At 45.8% G+C, this 14,100-nt stretch overlaps 1 long non-coding RNA gene across 3 annotated transcripts in view; it reads right to left on the minus strand.

Annotated features, from left to right (window-relative positions):
- Positions 1 to 2,970: 2,970 nt before the first annotated feature.
- The window catches only part of FAM230F (family with sequence similarity 230 member F), a 31,723-nt gene continuing 20,593 nt past the window's right edge, over positions 2,971 to 14,100 (minus strand). For 2 of the 3 annotated variants that reach the window (NR_165500.3, NR_165501.3), the window contains exons 7-13: positions 13,808 to 13,841; positions 11,542 to 11,594; positions 9,549 to 11,514; positions 8,943 to 9,015; positions 8,676 to 8,716; positions 8,059 to 8,213; positions 2,971 to 3,410 (exon numbers count right to left, since the gene is read on the minus strand). This is a non-coding gene — a long non-coding RNA (family with sequence similarity 230 member F). Of the gene's footprint in view, positions 3,411 to 8,058; positions 8,214 to 8,675; positions 8,717 to 8,942; positions 9,016 to 9,548; positions 11,595 to 13,807; positions 13,842 to 14,100 lie in introns of all 3 variants that reach the window. The other variant, NR_136571.2, reaches the window with a different exon arrangement.

The raw sequence follows: 14,100 nt of genomic DNA on the forward strand, positions 1-14,100 counted from the left end.
AGATCATGCCACTGCACTCCAGCCTGGGCAACAGAGCGAGACTCCATCTCAAAATAAATAAATAAATAAAATATAAGGTCTCAGGAACGTAAAGATTGACATTTACTCCCAAACTATTAATATATGTCCACCCACCTTTCTTGTAGCAAAATCTTAACTTGACGTTTGTTTCAATAGTTATTAAATTTAATTATAATGTCCTAGCCCAAAATACAGTAGAGGTAAACATCCAAGGTACTGGCTTGAGGCCACTGGCCCTGTATCTATAAAGGAGAGGGAGACCATCAGGGGAGGGAGGGTAAGAAAGGGAGGAAGAGGGCAAACAAGTTATCAAAAAACAACAGTAGGCAGGGCACTATGGCTCATGCTTGTAATCCTAGCATTTTGGGAAGCCAAGGTGGGCAAATTGCTTGCACTCAGGAGTTCAAGACCAGCCTGGACAACATGGCAAAACCCCATCTCTACAAAAAATCGGCCAGGCCTGGTGGTGTACGCTTGTAATTCCAGCTACTTGGGAGGCTGAGGTAGGAGGATCACTTGAGCCTGGAAGGCAGAGGTTGCAGTGAGCCGACATCATGCCACTGCACTTCAGCCTGAGTGACAGAGTAAGACCCTGTCTCAAAAACAAACACATCAGTTATTCATATTTCAGAGTAAGGACAAAACATTTTTAAGTAGCTGGCAAAGGACATCACTATATTTCAGAGTAAAACAAATAGGAAATGCTTATCATTTGACATATTTTTAAACATTGTATCTGAAAAGTGAACAAAGAAGTGAATGTGCTTATGATTAAATTGACTTTGTTACTTTGTAAACTTGTAGCTTTAGACCTGTCTCTTAGCATCACCAAGCCTTGATCTTTTCATCTATAAAATGGGCATGGTAATGCCAGCCTTGCTATGTTTATAGGTCACTTAGGAATGAGGTATGTATGGTGTTGACCATGGTTTCTGGCAAGTGGCATATATTCATTATACCATAGCTCTTTTCAGAAAGCTAAGTCACCACGTACATGTTAATGCAACCTGCTGAAAATAGGCATGGAAAAACTAGAAAATCTAGAAAAATTAGAAAATCACTGAAGAGGATTTTCTTTAAAAAAATACATACTTTAAACTCGGGAGGCTGAGGAGGGAGAATCGTTTGAACCTGGGAGGCGGAGGTTGCAGTGAGCCAAGATTGTGCCACTGCACTCTAGCCTGGGCTACAGGGCAAGACTCCATTAAAAAAAAAAAAAAAACCAGCAAAAAACAAACAAAACATAATGCATGTTCTCTCTTATAAATGGGAGCTAAACATGGGGACTCATTGACTTAAAGATGGCAACAACTGGGAACTGCTGGATGGGGAGGGAGGGGAGGGGTGAAAGGCCAACTGTTGGGGAGTATGCTCATATCCACGTGACAAACCTGCACATGTGCCCGCTGAATCTAAAATAAAAGTTGAAAGTAGATTTAAAAAACCCCAAGAGGGCTGGGTTTGGCTTGTGTGTCCATAGCTTGTTAACCTCCGCTTTAGATATTAACTAATAGAAACCTAGTGCTTATCTTCCCAGGCCACCTATTTTGTTCCTCTCCAAGGTGATGGATAGATGAAGGCCTAATCCAGCCGCCTGGAAGTTTGCTGACGCTTGTCCTGTCACAGATTAATGAAGCATTGTTTTCTGATGAAGCTTTCATGCCGCTGTGCTGATGTGTCTTCTCTTCTCTCTAGGCAGGAAACTGCATATCTTCTGGTTTACATGAAGATGGAGTGCTAATGGAAATGCCCAAAACCTTCAGAGATTGACACGCTGTCATTTTCCATTTCCATTCCTGGATCTACGGAGTCTTCTAAGAGATTTTGCAATGAGGAGAAGCATTGTTTTCAAACTATATAACTGAGCCTTATTTATAATTAGGGATATTATCAAAATATGTAACCATGAGGCCCCTCAGGTCCTGATCAGTCAGAATGGATGCTTTCACCAGCAGACCCGGCCATGTGGCTGCTCGGTCCTGGGTGCTCGCTGCTGTGCGAGACATTAGCCCTTTAGTTATGAGCCTGTGGGAACTTCAGGGGTTCCCAGTGGGGAGAGCAGTGGCAGTGGGAGGCATCTGGGGGCCAAAGGTCAGTGGCAGGGGGTACTTCAGTATTATACAACTGCTGTGACCAGACTTGTATACTGGCCGAATATCAGTGCTGTTTGTAATTTTTCACTTTGAGAACCAACATTAATTCCATATGAATCAAGTGTTTTGTAACTGCTATTCATTTATTCAGCAAATATTTATTGATCATCTCTTCTCCATAAGATAGTGTGATAAACACAGTCATGAATAAAGTTATTTTCCACAAAAGGACTTTGCAGTTTTAACGGGGGGCAGTAGGGATTGTGCTATAGAAATTCAAAGGCAAGGGAAGTCACTTCTGTTGTGGGGCCCTGGGAGGAGCCTACAGGCTGGAAAGGGTTAAGGTGGAGGTCTCCGATAGGGGCAGCGTACACAGTGGACTGGCTGCAAAAGGCCGTGCTCAGCATTCAGACAGCATCACACACTCCGCTTTTCTCTACCAGGGAGGCAGGTGGGGAAGGATAGCGATGGGAAGGCAGGCGGAGCTCAGAATGTGGAAGGGGATCCAGTAAGGCTTGGAAGTTTGCACCTGATCTGGTGGGTGGTGAGGAGCCCTTGAAGGGGCAAGGAGGTGAGAAGCACTCAGCTGTGTTCTTACACTGATCTGCCACTGGGGTTAGAGACAAACGTGGTGGGAATGGAAAGCCACGCACAGTCACTAGCGCCTCTGGGGGGAGAATGGATGTGGCTGGTGAGAGAACAGGGGGGCCCAGGGAGAGTCCGGCACCAACCTGGCGGGGGGAGCCCAGTGGGTGTGAGCACCCCCACTTTAGAGATGAAGTGATGGAGACATTCAGATGTTTAACCCCTTGTTCAAGATTCCATACTTGATAAATGGCAGATCAAACTCCCAACATAAAATGTGGGTCATTTCTTTATTATTTTATTTGTATTGGTTAACAATGATCAGCCATGCAAGAATAAATGATTATTGTAAAATCTGCAAACAATGTAGATATGTAGAGAGTCCCTTCCTTGGAGCTTGACCTTGTCAGACAGGTATAGATGAGTGTTCCAGGGCAGCCGTAAAAACTGCCAGAGACTGGGCTGCTTATAACAGAAACGCATGGTCTCCCAGAAGCCCACATTCAAGGTGTCCAAAGGCCTGGCTCCTGGAGGCTCTGGAGGAGAGCCTGTTCCCTGTCTCTCAGCTTCTGCCGGTTGCCAGCAAGTGTTGCCGTTCATTCACTCCAGCCACTGCCTCCATCTGCACACAGCAAAACAGCGTATCCTGAAGTGCTCAACCTTATAGCCATTATTTTAAAATATCCGGAACACACAGGACCGTGGGAGTGGCTGTTGGAGAAATTTTCATGAAGGAAGAAAGATTACAACTAAGTTTTAAAATGCTAGTTTTGTTTGTTTTGTCTTGGAGAGGAGGTAAAAGTGGGAGTAAAAATAGGGAGTTTGGTGTAAGGTGGGAAAAGCAAAGGAACCCCGCATGGATGGGCTGAAGGGTGTGATGGGAGAACAGTGAGAAGTACGTTTGGGGAAGCAATTGGAAATAGTAGCTAAGCTTAATCACAATCTATCAAAAGGGACTTGTTGAAGAATTAATGTGTGACTAGGAACAGGGAGGTTATGGGCTTGTCAGCTCGACAGCGGGCACTCAGTTCCACTAACGAATGATGCCCGTGTGGACAGACAGAATGATGGACAGGCAGATGAATGCGTGGGCTTTATGTGAAACAGGTCCTCTTGGTTGTTGACAAGATACTGTTTTAAAGTTCCATTTTGCCATACTTCGAACAGCTTGTCATTAGCTCAATTTAGCCACATGTAAAATCACTAAGGCGGACTTCCAGAGTTCCCACATGAAAATCAAATGTAAACCAGCAGTGACCTGCTTCAACACCATCATCGGAAGTCAGAAGTTGAACTCTTTTTTGATGTTTAAAGCCTGCATAATATTCGCTGTATTATTATTCAGCATATTACTATTTCCTTCGTGATGGAAATTTGGTTTATCCCAATTTTCTATTCTATCAAAACACCGCTACATAGAAAATCCCCATGCACATATTTCTCCTAATTGTGGAAATATTTTACATAAAAGACTCTAGACATGGGATGAAATTCCCAGGTTATTGGAATTTTAAAATAGATAGGTACTTCCAAATTGACCTCTTACAAATTATATGAATTCGTAAGCTTCCAACTGTTATGGAGTTACCCATTTTGAGAAATCTGTGCTAAAAGGACCCAAACAATGCTGATGACAATGATCAGGATAATAAGTACGCTGGGAAGACAACAAAATGATTTAGATCTTAGACAAGTCATTCTAGGTGTCTCCACTGTTTCAGTTCTTGCGTTCGTTCATTCTTGTGCTTTTTCGTTTTACCAAATAAAATAGCTCCTTGATGTCATATGAATCCACGCTATGCTTAATGAGTATTGGTTAGTAAAATGCCTATAACTAGTAATCTTCATCTATGCAATTAAATATTAATTCATAAAACACTTCAAATGTAAACAATAATTAGTAAATGAAAAGTACATAATACCTCAATTAGAAAAAAATCACTCCATTAAAAAGACATTATTTGTGTGATAAAAGAGATTGCCATTTTTGTATTTTTCTACAAGGTTAAAGAAAACTAAGTCAACTTATACAAGTGAATTTTAAAAGACTTTAGGGCAGGCGTGGTGGCTCACACCTGTAATCCCAGCACTTTAAGAGGCCGAGGAGGGCAGATCACCTGAGGTCAGGAGTTCGAAACCAGCCTGACCAACATGGTGAAATCTCATTTCTACTAAAAATACAAAAAAATTAGCCCAGTGTGGTGGCATGTGCCTATAATCTCAGCTACTTGGGAGGCTGAGACAGGAGAATAGTTTGAACCTGGGAGGCGGAGGTTGCAATGAACCAGGATCGCACCATTGCACTCCAGCTTGGGCAACAAGAGTGAAACTCCATCTCAAAAATAAATAAATAAATAAATAAATAAAATAAATAAAAGCCTTTAACCCAGAATGCTGAGTAAATTGGCCAAAAATGCTAACCTATGCATTTCAATACTATAGGAGTCGCATGGGTAGAAATAACCAGATGAAATACTTCTGGTATTTCACCTTCCCAACCCACACGAGCCAGTGTTTTTCTGTGAATAACAAAAACAGCAGAATTTACTTGCCTCTCCATAAGAGGTTACCACTTCTGTGTGTTCCCCCGAAACAGGTGGTGGCTGGGTGAGAAGGTGGACAGCACTAGGGCAGGAGATGGGGGCTCCAGTATCGTGGGTGAGCTTCCTAAACCTCTGCAACTTTCAGCCCCTAAATGGGATGAGCCATCAGAATTTTTAGCACAATGCCCAGAACAAAGTAAGGATTTGACAAATGACGCCTCTCTCCACATTGTTCTGTCATCAGCCACCGCATCCTGTACCTCCAAGCCCACTGGGCTCCGGCTGTTTCCATCACATGGAGAATGACTCAGAGCCTGGCCTCCAGCCACCCTCCTGGCCTTTCTTCTTCTCACTCTGCCACTGGCTCCTCATGGACCACCAGCCTGGGTGTCCTCAGACATACCACACACTTCACTGTGGGAGTCACGCAGCCCTCAATGCTCCTTCTCCAGGGAGCCACGGGGCTTTCCTCCTCAGGAGGACTCTGCAAGCAGCTGGATGAAGGGCCCTCCCGTCTCTCATCCTTCCTTAATTTTTGTCACAGTTCTCCTTCCTTCCACTCAGTGCAGTGCACACTGATTGATCCTCCATCTTCCCCAAAAGACAGGAACAGCATGAGCAGTGGAGAGTAGATTCCAATGATAGAAAAAATAGTCAGTGATTTCTCATTTCCATTGATCATCAATGAAGAAAATGTATCCTGAAGGTCATGTACCTCCTATGGGACTGCTGCATCCTCAGCCTCCTGAATTTCAGCCCAGCACCTTCCTCCCCAGCACAGCAACAGGTCAGCCCTTACCAGCATCCCTCTCTTATTGCCTTTGTGCAGAGCCAGCACCAGGGCCAGGGGAGGCCTTGGGATTGTCCCTCCCCAACAATCTGTGAAACAATCCTTTATGTCACCAACAAAGCACAGCCTTCTGCACTGGTGGTCAGTCCCTCTCAACACCTCTGTCACTGTAAAGCTGGCAGGCAACCCTCCAAGGTTGGCCTTCCCAAGCACTGCACCTCTAGGTGACAGAGCACGTCCTTACCTTGAAGCCTGGGCGCCCAGTCTATCCTGTCCAATGAGCGAGCTGTGGAGAAGGGGGGATTCCGGGTTAAGGGGAGACTAGCAGGGCTCCTGCTTTTATGTTGCCCTGTTGGGAAGGCTATTAAAGAAACATAAAGTGCTAAGCAGTGAGGATAGAACATGTTTTCATTATTTCAACCAATACATTCCACAGATGGAATAATAAGAAATGCTACAACCAAGCTAACTGAATCCAACAGCATATCAAAAAGATAATCCACCATGATTCAAGTGGGTTTCATACTAGGGATGCAGGGATGGTTTAACATACGCAAGTCAATAAATGTGATACATCACATCAATAAAACTAAAAACAAAAATCACATGATAATCTGAATAGATGCAGAAAAAGCCTTTGACAAAATCCAGCATTTCTTTATGATTAAAACCGTTCGTCACAATCAGCATAGAACGGACATACCTTAAGGTAATAAAAGCTATCTATGACAAACCCACAGCCAACATTTTCCTGAATGGGGGAGAGTTGAAAGCATTCCCCCTGAGGAAGGGAACAAGACAAAGATGCCCACGTTCACCGCTTCTCAACACAGTGCTGTTCACTACAGCATTGGTTATAAGAGCAAGACTGGAAACAGAACAAATGGATACCCATAGCGGGGTGCTTAAGTAATTTTGGGAATAGTCATGGGGTGCAGTACTTTATAGCTCTGAAACAATACAATGGATTTACATTTGAAATGTGGAATGATAACTAAGGTGCATTGCCCAGTGATATATGCAGAGGTGCAGAGGACTTTGTGTAAACACGATCACACATCAGCCTGCATTCCAGGTGCATGCTTCTATTTGCACATAGATTGCAGGGATGATATGCAAACAAAAATGTTGACTTGGTGTTTGGAAGTTCAGAGTGGAAGGGAAACTTCCTTGCTAACCTTTTATGATATTTAGAGTTTCTAAATGTGAATACGTAATACATTTAGAAATCTTAGTTAATAAGAAAAGCCTCTGTTCCTGGCCTCTTGCTGGCACATGTCAGGTGGAAATGGGGCTGTCATGCTAATGTGTGCAAACTGAGAAAAATCCAAGAATGGGAGTCTGCTTTTTTCATCATACAAATAATTGTTAATAGAAACAGTATGATAATTGCTCATTGATATACCATGCATATTCTATTAGATAATAATAAATTTCTGAAATTTGAACTATACTTACACATGGAAATTGAAATATATGGATGAAACATTGTGGCTTATATAGGCAATTGTTTTATTGGCATTTTACAAACTGATCATCATTCCTCATGGCACGGGTCCATGTGATATTAAGTAGCTTGTTATGCTTGGGAAAGGCAGTGATGACCACAAGAATGACTTCAACTACTAAAGTACAATGGAGATTTCAACAATGTTTTGTTTAATATTTAAATATTTCATTGTGCTCCCAGGCTTTTTCTCACCCTAATAGCTCTCATCCATATCATGTGGGTCCCATTAATACAGATAACTCCGAATGCACCACTCTTCCATTATATCCAGTCAATTGCTGGTTACCTTGGGCCTACCAACTGGGGGAGGGCAGGGGCTGCTGGCCACCTCCTCATCTACAGTAAGAGTCAATGAGCAGTTAAATGGATACTGAAAACCATTTATCCTGCTGGAGTGAGAAATAAATGGTTTCTTTCAATAGCGTACGTAGTAAAATGCATCTTTTCCAAACTATTTATATGACTCAAGGCCCATCTCAATTTCAGATGTGGTTAGCCTCAATTCCTGATTCTCACCAAGGTGTGTAATGTCATCCACGGCCCAGTGCAGAGGAACACAGGTGCTGCCGTCAGACTGCCAGGGTCCGATCCCGCCTCCTCACTCACCCCGGGAGATCCCTTTAAGCCAGGAGTCAACAGTGAGGATGGAAACATGAGTGCTTTTTAAAGTCCTGAAAGTTCAGAGGCAAACTGTCAATTTCTCCTCCACCCCTGGGCACACACCAGGAGAATTCTGTCTCCAGGTTGGAGGAAGTGCCTGTGAGAGAGTTGTGTCTCTCAGATTCTGTTCACCACAGGTGACACTCGATGCAACCCCAAACCTCTTCTGCACAATCCCAAGGGGTGCTGACTAATCCAACCCAAAGGCTGTGATGTTTGGCAGAGGCAGAAAAGAAAAGGCCAGGTGTTCTGGGAAAGACCACCTTTAAATAACACAGCACCCTCATAGCCCAGAGAGACAGTTCTAACTATTATGCCAATAAACCCGGAAAAGACCAAATCCAATATGACACATATTTCCTGTTTCGTTTTGATTTCATGCCCCCTCCCTTAACCTCCCAAGCAGCATGGATAACCCGAAGGCCCCTGGGAACTCTCTCCAATTGGATCTTACGTGGAAAGCAGTTACCTACCTACAAATCCCCATCATCAGATATGCTCTCCACAATCAAATCTTTAGAAACACAAACACCAGGATAAGTCATTAGAGAGAGGCCCACCCACTCCTCCCACCCTAGCTGAAGCCATGGTGCTTCGCACAGGATCCCCTGGTGTTTCCTCTGGGCTCACAGATATCCCTACAGCCTCTCTGGACATGGTTTTATACTTGCAAAATCATTTGCTCTCACCAGACCCCAAATCCTCCTTCGCAAAAGGAGCCCAGAATCAGGTTTCTGTACCCTAGAGATGGCGCTTTTTCCTCAGGAAGTGAGTTATTTCAGGGTACGTATCATTCTCCAGTGTCAATGGCTCCTGCAATTATAGAAAAGAAAACATTAGGAGGGTGAAATGATGCCATACACGTCACACAGATCTGATAGTCTCTCGACAACTTGAGAGAGAAAATATGAAGGGGTATAGTGATTGAGTCAAAGGTCGAAGTCCCCCAAAACTGGCACGGAAGACACCTGTGGAAAAGACAAGACCTTTTCCCACAGAATTTATCTTTAAAGTGTATCTAGATTGGCAGTTTCACAACTCTTAATCCATGGGGGAAAACTGCTGTGGAGGGAAACACCTCTGCATTGCAGTGGATCGTGGATGCTGCCATCTACCACACCCCAGTGTGCCTGGCATGGGTTGGTGAGAGGCTGCCAATCAATAGCACCACACCAAGGGAATTGCAGATGTCATAAATAGTCCACATTGGCAGATGTTCATGTCTACATTTGATTAAACTGCAGATGACATCGATAATGCACACTGGCAGATGTTCATGTCTACATCTGATTGGAAAGAAGCCAGGAAAGTAACATTTCTCTTCAAGACAAAGAAAAGTGTCTTACATTGGCAGCATCTTCTTTTTTACAGATGTCTTGTACAGTGTCCTCATTAGCAATGTCATATACAGCGTCCTTATTAGCGAATTCGTATACAGCATCCTCATTAGCGATGCCATATACAGCGTCCTCATTAGCGATGTTGTATACAGCGTCCTCATTAATGATGTCGTATAGAGCGTCCTCATTAGCGATGTCATATACAATGTCCTCATTAGCGATGTCATATACAGCAACCTCATTAGCTATGTCTTGTAAAGCATCCTCATTAGCGATGTCATATACAACGTCCTCATTAGCGATGTCGTATACAGCGTCCTCGTTAGCGATGTCTTGTACGGTGTCCTTATAAGCAATGTCGTCTACAGCGTCCTCGTTAGCATGCCTTGTGGATGCCATTAGCGATGTCATATACAGCATCCTCATTGGTGATGTCTTATATGGTGTCCTCATTAGCGATGTTGTGTACAGCGTCCTCGTTAGCAATGCCTTGTACAGTGTCCTCGTTAGCGATGCCATATACAGTGTCCTCATTAGTGATGGCTTGTACACTGTCCTCATTAGTGATGTCGTGTACAGCATCCTCGTTAGCGTGCCTTGTACGGTGTCATTAGCGATGTCGTATACAGCGTCATAATTAGCGATGTCTTATACGGTGTCATCATTAGTGATGTTGTGTACAGCGTCATCGTTAGCGATGCCTTGTATGGTGTCCTCATTAGCGATGTCGTATACAGCGTGCTCACTAGCGATGTCTTTTTTTATATATATATACTTTAAGTTTTAGGGTACATGTGCACATTGTGCAGGTTAGTTACATATGTATACATGTGCCACGCTGGTGCGCTGCACCCACTAACTCATCATCTAGCATTAGGTATATCTCCCGATGCTATCCCTCCCCCCCCACCCCACAACAGTCCCCAGAGTGTGATATTCCCCTTCCTGTGTCCATGTGATCTCATTGTTCAATTCCCATCTATGAGTGAGAATATGCGGTGTTTGGTTTTTTGTTCTTGCGATAGTTACTAGCGATGTCTTATACGCTGTCCTCATTAGCAATGTCGTGTACAGCGTCCACGTTAGCGTGCCTTGTCGGTGCCATTAGCAATGTCGTATAAAGCGCCCTCATTGGTGATGTCTTGTACAGTGCCCTCATTAGCGATGTTGTGTACAGTGTACTTGTTAGCGACGGCTTGTAGGGTGTCCTCGTTAGCGATGTCGTATACAGCTCGTTGGCGATGCCGTGGGCGGCGTCCTCTTTGGCGATGCCCTGGGCGGCGTCCTCGTTGGCGATGCCCTGGGCGGCGTCCTCGTTGGCGATGCCCTGGGCGGCATCCTCCTTGGCGATGCCCTGGACGGCGTCCTCGCTGGCGATGCCGTGGGCGGCGTCCTCGCTGGCGATTCCGTGGGCGGCGTCCTCGTTGGCGATGCCCTGGGCGGCGTCCTCGTTGGCGATGCCCTGGGCGGCGTCCTCTTTGGCGATGCCCTGGGCGGCGCCCTCGTTGGCGATGCCCTGGGCGGCGTCCTCCTTGGCGATGCCCTGGGCGGCGTCCTCCTTGGCGATGCCCTGGGCGGCGTCCTCGTTGGCGATGCCCTGGGCGGCGTCCTCCTTGGCGATGCCCTGGACGGCGTCCTCGCTGGCGATGCCGTGGGCGGCGTCCTCGCTGGCGATTCCGTGGGCGGAGTCCTCGTTGGCGATGCCGTGGGCGGCGTCCTCCTTGGCGATGCCCTGGGCGGCGCCCTCCTTGGCGATGCCCTGGGCGGCGTCCTCCTTGGCGATGCCCTGGGCGGCGTCCTCCCTGGCGATGCCCTGGGCGGCGTCCTCGCTGGCGATGCCCTGGGCGGCGTCCTCGCTGGCGATGCCGTGGGCGGCGTCCTCGCTGGCGATTCCGTGGGCGGCGTCCTCGCTGGCGATGCCGTGGGCGGCGTCCTCGTTGGCGATGCCCTTGTCGGCGGCCTCGTTAGCGATGTCGTGTACAGTATCCTCGTTAGCGATGTCGTGTGTGGCGTCCTCGTTAGTGATGTCGTGTACGGTGTCCTCATGGGGAGCTAGAAAAACACAGAGTTAAGGTCAGTGCCCTGGTGGTGGAGACTGTGAATCACCCAGGGGCTTGCTTGGTGTGATGCATGGAGGTGGCTGATCACAGCATGGGTCAAGCTGATGCTGGGACATCCTCCCAGGTGGACCTGCACTAGTGAAGCTAAGGGATGTGGCTCAGAACACTTTCTGCAGTGGGAATCAGTTTCCAGGTTCAGGTATGCATTATCTGGTGAAGTGGGGAAATATAAAAAATAAAAATTGACAAATTCATGAAAAGCCTCCCATGAGTGCAAGTGTGAGTTTTTTATCCACTTTACGTTCAGTATGCATTCACACATACAAAATATTTTTACAAGAAATCAGAAATTTTAATTTTTGTCAGTTATGTGAAATCTAACTTAGCTGCCAACATAAAGATTCTATCTCATTTACTTGGTCTCGAGAAAATCTAGCACATAGTAAGTAGACCAAAATGTTTATTAAATGAAAACACAGAGCAGAGATAGGGGGGCTGCTAGGCAGACTGGGTTGCACCTGATTACCTGGATGATAATAAACTGCACAAAACCTCAGTCAAATTAATATTGAAACTGCCTTTTGCTTGGGCTCGTTTCCCTTGCGGAAGAAGGATGACCAAGAAGATGAACAGGAAAGAAATGAGAAACAGAGGCCTTTGCTTAGTAGCTAAAGGCCACCTTCTGTAACATGAAATAGTCTACAAGTGGCCTTGAACTCTGCCGTGATTTAGTGACAGAGTTCCCTCATGTCTTCTACCCAGGTTGAAGTCCAGCAAAATTGCGACTGTCCTCTTTACAACTTGCGAGACCACACTGCTTCTGCATTTGCCTGTTGTATGTATGAGATTTACACTTGTTTTAGAGCAACATTTTGTTTCAGTTGGGCTGGTGGCCATACCCGGCACTAGCCGGTCAATAGTGAGATGGCTCCTCATGGAGGAGGCTTGGCTTGAGGCTGAGGGTCTTTAACCCACATATACAAGAGAGTTGCCACTAAGGGATGGAAGCCAGGCTAATAACCAAGTGCCACACAGAGTTCCTATCTGTCCCTCCTCACCATTTTTGGCTGGCAGGATTTGAGCATTTTAGGGCTTGGGAAGATAGTATTACTAAATCTACTAAAATACATCACCCATCCTTATAGACTTTGGCCAGTTGCTGAGCAAATTAACTTCACAACTGAAGTGGGCCACACTGGCCTTTGTGGTCCCCCACTCCTCTTAGAATTTGTGAGCGTGGGGCCTACTGGAGGGTGGGAGGTGGGAGGAGGGGGTGGATCAGGAAAAATAACTGATATTAGGCTCAATATATGGGTGATGCAATAATCTGTACAAAAAACTCTCATCACACATTTATATATGTAGCAAACCTGCACATCCTGCACATGTACCCCTGAACTGAAAAGTTAAATAACAAAAGGGATCTGTGAGCTGAGCCAAACACCTGGGGATCTTTGTGCTTTTGACACACTGATGACTATGCCGGTCCGTGGGGAGATGAGCCTATAACTGCCCTGGGTTGTGTGACCACGGAGGCCACTTTATGATGATGGGCAGTGTCTGGGGCCTTTTGGGCTCGTTGCTTTAGGGCTTATACATGAATGCTGGACTCCCTGTGTGGTGGTGAACACCCCATGACTAAGTGCATGTCAGCGTCAGCACTGGTCCACACTCCTGGGTTCGTGTTTTCACTGTTTCATTCAGGAACTCGGGAGCTGGGGCCACTCCCTTGGCCCTTCAGGTTCTCCACCTGAGCAGTGGGGATAATAAGGCAGACCCGGGGATGGCTCTGGTGAGGGTGGAGGAGTCACTGTACAGAGAGAGTAGAGCGGGGGTGGATTTTATTGTTAGAAGTGGACACTGGTGATTGGGTTGTATAAGTGGGAAATCTCTCCTGAGAAAACACACAGCCTCACCTGTACAGAAACACACACATTCACACCACACGATGCAGCCTCACACAAGACACCACCAATCCTCAAGCACCCAACTCAGCACCACCCAAAAGGGAGCACAGCTGCTTCCTCAAAATTTGGCCATAATTTTTCCCTGGGGAATTCAGGTTTTAAAAAAACACTTCCCCTATACTTATTCCTATCACAATCCCAGGATCAGGGTGGCTCTTCACATTGAAACCAGGCAAGGATGCCACACCTTTCTTGGCATCCAGATTGTTTTCTTGGCAAGTGATTCCAGAATACTTACTAGATTCAAGCCTCAGAGGGGCCACCTGCACCACCTGCAATACAGAAACAAAGCTTTTTGAGGGGTATGTCATGTTGTGGATTGTTTGCACAAGGCTCTGTTTCTCTCAATGAATACTGAAAACTTGATCAGAAAGTGTAGTCAACTTCAAGGCCTCCAAAACAAGGGTGGGATACACACTGGAAAAGACATCAGCTTCTGGATGGTGGATCTCTCAGGTCCACGTAGGTTGGCAAGTGCAAAATACTGAATCCAAGGAGAAGACATCGCTTCCAGGGACAAGGACCCCAAGG

The sequence above is a fragment of the Homo sapiens genome, chromosome 22, assembly GCF_000001405.40.
Source record: "Homo sapiens chromosome 22, GRCh38.p14 Primary Assembly".
In the NCBI taxonomy this organism is placed as follows: domain Eukaryota; kingdom Metazoa; phylum Chordata; class Mammalia; order Primates; family Hominidae; genus Homo; species Homo sapiens.